A 5,545-nucleotide genomic window follows, 5' to 3' on the forward strand; every position below is an offset into this window, starting at 1 on the left:
TTAGATAAATGGGAAAAGACATCTACAGCCAGCATTTTCATAGTCTTTACTAGTATCAACCAAAAATTTAATATGGCAGTCTTATATTTTAAGCTCACACCTTTTGGGGATACAGTCTCAAGTCTTCTTGAATGTCAGAACTGCAAAATACAATTGCCGTTATATGGTAATGGGAGTTAAAGAACATAGAGTCCTCATGTAAAGATTAGAACACACTTTTCTATTTAGTGCTTCAAAGGACGGACTTTCAAAATGTTTGATCTTAATAATCCCATGCTGTGAGTAGACTGATTACTCTTCAGTTTGTAAATATAAGTGGGCTATGTGAAATTTATCAACTGATTAAGATTTTTGAGCTTCAGTTATGGATGACGATGATCTCAATTTAACTTTATTTACCCCCATCATGATATGCAGGGTGTGTAGACAAAAGCATTTTATCAGCTACCTATATGAGAGGATCAACACTGTAATAATTCATGTGATCCAAAATGGGCAAAAGCAAAAGACTAGCTTCCCTTCAAGAAGAAAAATTTCAGACCTATGAAAAGGACTACAATACTAATTTTAAAAACTGTATTAGAAGCATTCATAATGTCAGCAAAATTGCTACAACTTTTTTGCAATTAGTGTGATATTCAGTTAACAGAACAACTATTTCATATAAGCTGCACCAGAGACAACTGAAGATGAAAAAATTACCATCCCCGTATATAACTAATTTGTGCTGTGCACCAACAAGAACCTGCTTTAAATTCCCATGCCAATTTACAACCCCTATACCATACCAGGCAGTTTGTGGCCATCTAAAGACACATTTGGTAGTGGGATAACTACACACACACACACAAAAAGACACTGTAAGGTTTAAAAACAAATTATGTACAGCTTATAGTTTAATTTTTTTCCTTTAAAAGCAGTGAGTTGTGTACAGGGGGCTTAAATGTTTTATAGACAATAAACAAATGGCTAGAACCAACTTATTCATCATTATTACCTTTTTAATTTTCATATTCCTCATTTTGTCCTCTTCCTTCTTTTTCTTGCATTTTTCAGCCTTGATGGCTCCCTTTTTTGCAGCATCAGGTTTTCCTTTACCTCCAAATGCAGCAATATCCTTTTCATATTTTTCCTTCAGCTTCACAGCCTTCTTTTCATAAGGGTGCTTGTCATCTTCAGCAATGTAATTCCACATCTCTCCCAGTTTTTTTGCAACATCACTAATTGATAGGCCAGGATGTTCTTTGATTTTTGGGCAATCCTCAGAAGAGAACATGAAAAAGGCCAAAGGAGGGCTCTTGGGTGCATTGGGATCTTCGAACTTCATTTTGGTCTCTGCTTTTGGAGGGATATAGATTTTCATTTCTCTTTCATAATGGGCCATGTCCACCTTTACTGAGTCTTCAAATTTTCATTTCTTTTCAGCAGACAAGGTCTTCCACCTCTCTGAGCACTTCTTAGGAAACTCTGAGAAGTTGACTGAAGCATCTGGGTGCTGCTTCTTGTGCTCCTCCCAGGAAGTTTGCACAAAGATTGCATATGATGTGATGACATTTCGCCTTTCAGCTTGTTAGGATCTCCTTTGCCTATGTTATTTTTCTTCAGCAAGGCAGAATCACCCAGTGCCTGTTTGGCTCTCACCTGCCCTGGAGCTGTCTCTATGGAGCTCAATGTACTGCAGTGGCTGTGAGAGTGGGAGCCAGATGCAGCCTCCTCGCTCTCTCCACTCTGTAACCTGAACTTTTTCTTAAAACCAATGGAATCACTCATGTTGCTTTGCACAGTCTCTTCTTAACTTGTTCATTAACAACATGTTCAATACATATAGGCCCACCTCATTCCATAGTTGTTCTAATGATTGCTTTTTCCTGAGGCCTAAACAAAGAAGATAGCTAGAGTTGGAACTCACTTTCCTCATTTATACAATGAGAAAAATAACAAATCTTAAGCTTATTAATAATACTGTTATGAAGATTAAGCCAATGCATGTAAGGTATTTAGAATGGTGTCTCACATATAGTAAGCATGAAATAAGTATTGACATTTCTTGTTAGTTTTTTCAACCTTCCAATCCAAGGAATGAGACTGACTCACATTTAAAAATAATGAGTCCAATCCAGATATTAGAATAGTGATAATAGCAGCAGCTAACACTTATCTGGCACAATACATGCCATGAGTTGTTATAAAATCTTTGTGTGTGCAAACATACCTCATTTTATAGCACTTTACTTTATTGCATGTCACAGACACTGCGTTTTTTACATATTGAAAGTTTGTGGGAACTCTGTATCAAGCAAGTATATTTGTGTCATTTTTCCAGTAGCATGTGCTTACTTCATGTCTCTGTCACAATTTGGTAATTAGTGGAATATTTCAAAGTTTTTCATTATTATGTCTGTTATGATGATCTGTTATCAGTGATCTTTGATGTTACTATTGTAATTGATTCAGGGTACCATAAACTGTACCCATATAAGACAGTGAACTTAATAAATGTATGTGTTCTGACTGCTCCAACTGATCATTTCCCCATCTCTCTTCCTCTTCTCAGGACTCCCTACTTCCTGAGACACAATGATATTAAAATTAAGCCAATGAATAACCCTACAGTGGCCCCCAAGTGTTCAAGTGGAAGGAAGAGAATCACGTTTCTTACCTTAAATCAAAAGCTAGACATGATTAAGCTTAGTGAAGGAGGCCTATCAAAAGCCAAGATAGGCCAAAAACTAGGCCTCTGGCATCAAAGAATAAGCCAAGTAGTGAATGCAAAGGAAAAGTTATTGAAGAAAATTAAAAGTACTACTCCAGTGAACATATGAATGATAAAAAAGCAAAACAGCTTTATTGCTGATATGAAGAAATTTTGAATGTCTGGATAGAAGATCAAACAAGCCACAGCATTCTCTTAAGCCAAAGCCTAACCCAGAGCAAGGCATGGACTCTATTCAATTTTAGGAAGGCTGAGAAAGGTAAGGACTCTGCAGAAGAAAAGTGAGAAGAGGTTGACTCATTAGGTTTAAGGAAAGAAACCATCTCCTTAAAATAAAAGTGCAAGGTGAAGGAGTAAGTGCTGATGGAGAAGCTGCAGCAAATTATCCAAAAGATCTGGCTAAGATTATTGATGAAGATCGCTACATTAAATAACAGATTTTTAACATCGACCAAAAAGCCTTATATTGGAAGAAGATGCCATCTAGGTCTTTCATAGCTAGAGAGGAATCAATGCCTGGCTTCAAAGCTTCAAAGGACAGGCTGACTCTTTCATTAGGGGCTAATGCAGCTGGTGACTTTAAGTTGAAGCCAGTGCTTATTTACCATTCCAAAAATCCTAGGGCCCTTGAGAATTATGCAAAATCTACTTTGCCTGCGCTCTGTAAGTGGAACAACAAAGCCTTTATGATAGCACATCTGTTTATAGCATAGTTTACTGAATATTTTAAGCCTACTGTTGAGAACTACTGCTCAGAAAAAAAGATTCCTTTCAAAGTATTAGTGCTCATTGACAATGCACCTGGTCATGCAAGGGCTCTATGGAGATGTACAAGGGGATTCATGTTATTGTCATGCCTGCTAACACAATATGATTCTGCGGCCCATAGATCAGCAGTAATTTTGACTTTCAATCTTATTATTTAAGAAACACATATAGCTACCATAGATAGTGATTCCTCTGATGGATCTGAGCAAAGTAAATTGAAAACCTTCTGGAAAGAATTCACCATTTTAGATGCCATTAAGAACATTCATGATTCATTGGAGGAGGTCAAAATATTAACATTAACAGGAGTTTGGAAGAAGTTGATTTCAACCCTTGTGGATGACTTTGAGCAGTTTAAGACTTCTGTGGAGAAAGTAACTGAAGATGTAGCAAAACAGCAAGAGATTAGAATTAAAAGTGGAGCCTGAAGATGTCACTGAATTGCTGCAATCTCATGATCAAACTTGAATGGATGAGGAGTCACTTCTTATGGATAAGCAAATAAAGTGGTTTCTTGAGAAGTGGAATCTACTCCTGGTGAAGATCCTGTGAACATTATTAAAATAACAGAAAATGATTTAGAATATTACATAAACTTAGTTGGTATAGCAATAGCAGGATTTCAGAGGATTCACTCCAAATTTTAGAAGGAATGTGGGTAAAATGCTATCAAACACCATCTCATGCTACAGAGAAATCTTCTGTGAAAGAAATAGTCGATGTGGCAAACTTCTTTATTGTTTATTGTAAGAAATTGCCACAGGCATCCCAGCCTTCAGCAACCACCACTCTGATCAGTCAGCAGCCATCAACATTGAGGCAAGACACTTCATCTCCACAATGATTACAACTTACTGAAGGCTCAGGTGATTGTGAGCATTTTTTTTTTAGCAATAAAGTATTTCTTAATTAAGGTATGTACATTGTTTGTTAAAGATAATGCTATTGTATACTTAATTGGCTACAGTATTAGTATAAACATACCTTTTATATGGGCAGGGAAGCCAAAAAATTTGTGTGGCTTGCTTTGCTGAAATATTCACTTTATTGTGGTGGTCTGGAACCAAACCTGTAATATCTCCAAGGTAGGCCTGTATTAAGACTTTAAATCCTCATAAACGCCCTATGTGGTAAATTCGATCTTTCTCACTTTACAGATGAGAAAACTGAGATACAGAGTGATGAGCTGTGATCACCATGCCAAGTTGGAAGAGATGGTACTTTATTGGGCTTTCATCAAGATTCCTTCTATGTGAGCTGTTGCTGACCATGCTCTTTACATTTCTGTCTGGTAGAAGATCCTCTTCCAATCCAAGGGGATTATAATATCACTTTTGGGAGGGCTGCAAGTCCCAAACGGGTACCAAAAAAGCTGAGAAATAAGTACAGGCAACCAGGTTATTGTTCAGATTCCTGTATTCCTATGTTACTAGGATGCCTAGGTCCTTGAGTGATATTACTAAGAAATAAATGGCGGGCCTCCGTGACTTATTGGTTTTGAGGGAGAAAATAAGACCAAGGTAGAATTGAATTTTGTACCCTGTATAGTACCACCTCTAAATACATGAAACCCAGAGCACAAAATGGTCCTGTGGGGTCAATGATGAATTTGTCTTTGGTTGTATGAAGTTTAAGGTACTGGTAAGATGTCTAGGAATAAAGGTGTTTCTGGTGGTTAAAATACCAATCTAGGATGTAGAAGATAAGTCAGAACTGGAAATACCTGATAAATGAAGCTGTGGAGGTATATGAAACCATAGTTAAAGAGAGTTATTAGAAGGTAGCTAAATGTGGAGCATCAGACGGGGGTCTGCATTTAAGAAGGGACTGAGTACCAATGTTGAATGCTGCTGACAAGTTGTGAAGAAGAGCGGTGAGGACTGAAGAAAAATGATTATGTTTTATTAAGAAGTTTAAAATGGTGGGAATAAAACCTAGATTATGAGACATTGAAGAGTGAGGAAGATGTGGAAGTAGATGCATTAGTATGGATAATTATTTCCTGATACTCTAATTATCTTCATAGTATTTGCCCATACCTGACAAGTTATACTTCTGTTTGTT

General features: G+C 37.0%; 1 pseudogene; it reads right to left on the minus strand.

The window, feature by feature from the left end:
- On the minus strand, positions 957-1,735 carry HMGB1P15 (high mobility group box 1 pseudogene 15; annotated as a pseudogene).

This window comes from Homo sapiens, chromosome X (genome assembly GCF_000001405.40).
Source record: "Homo sapiens chromosome X, GRCh38.p14 Primary Assembly".
NCBI lineage: Eukaryota > Metazoa > Chordata > Mammalia > Primates > Hominidae > Homo > Homo sapiens.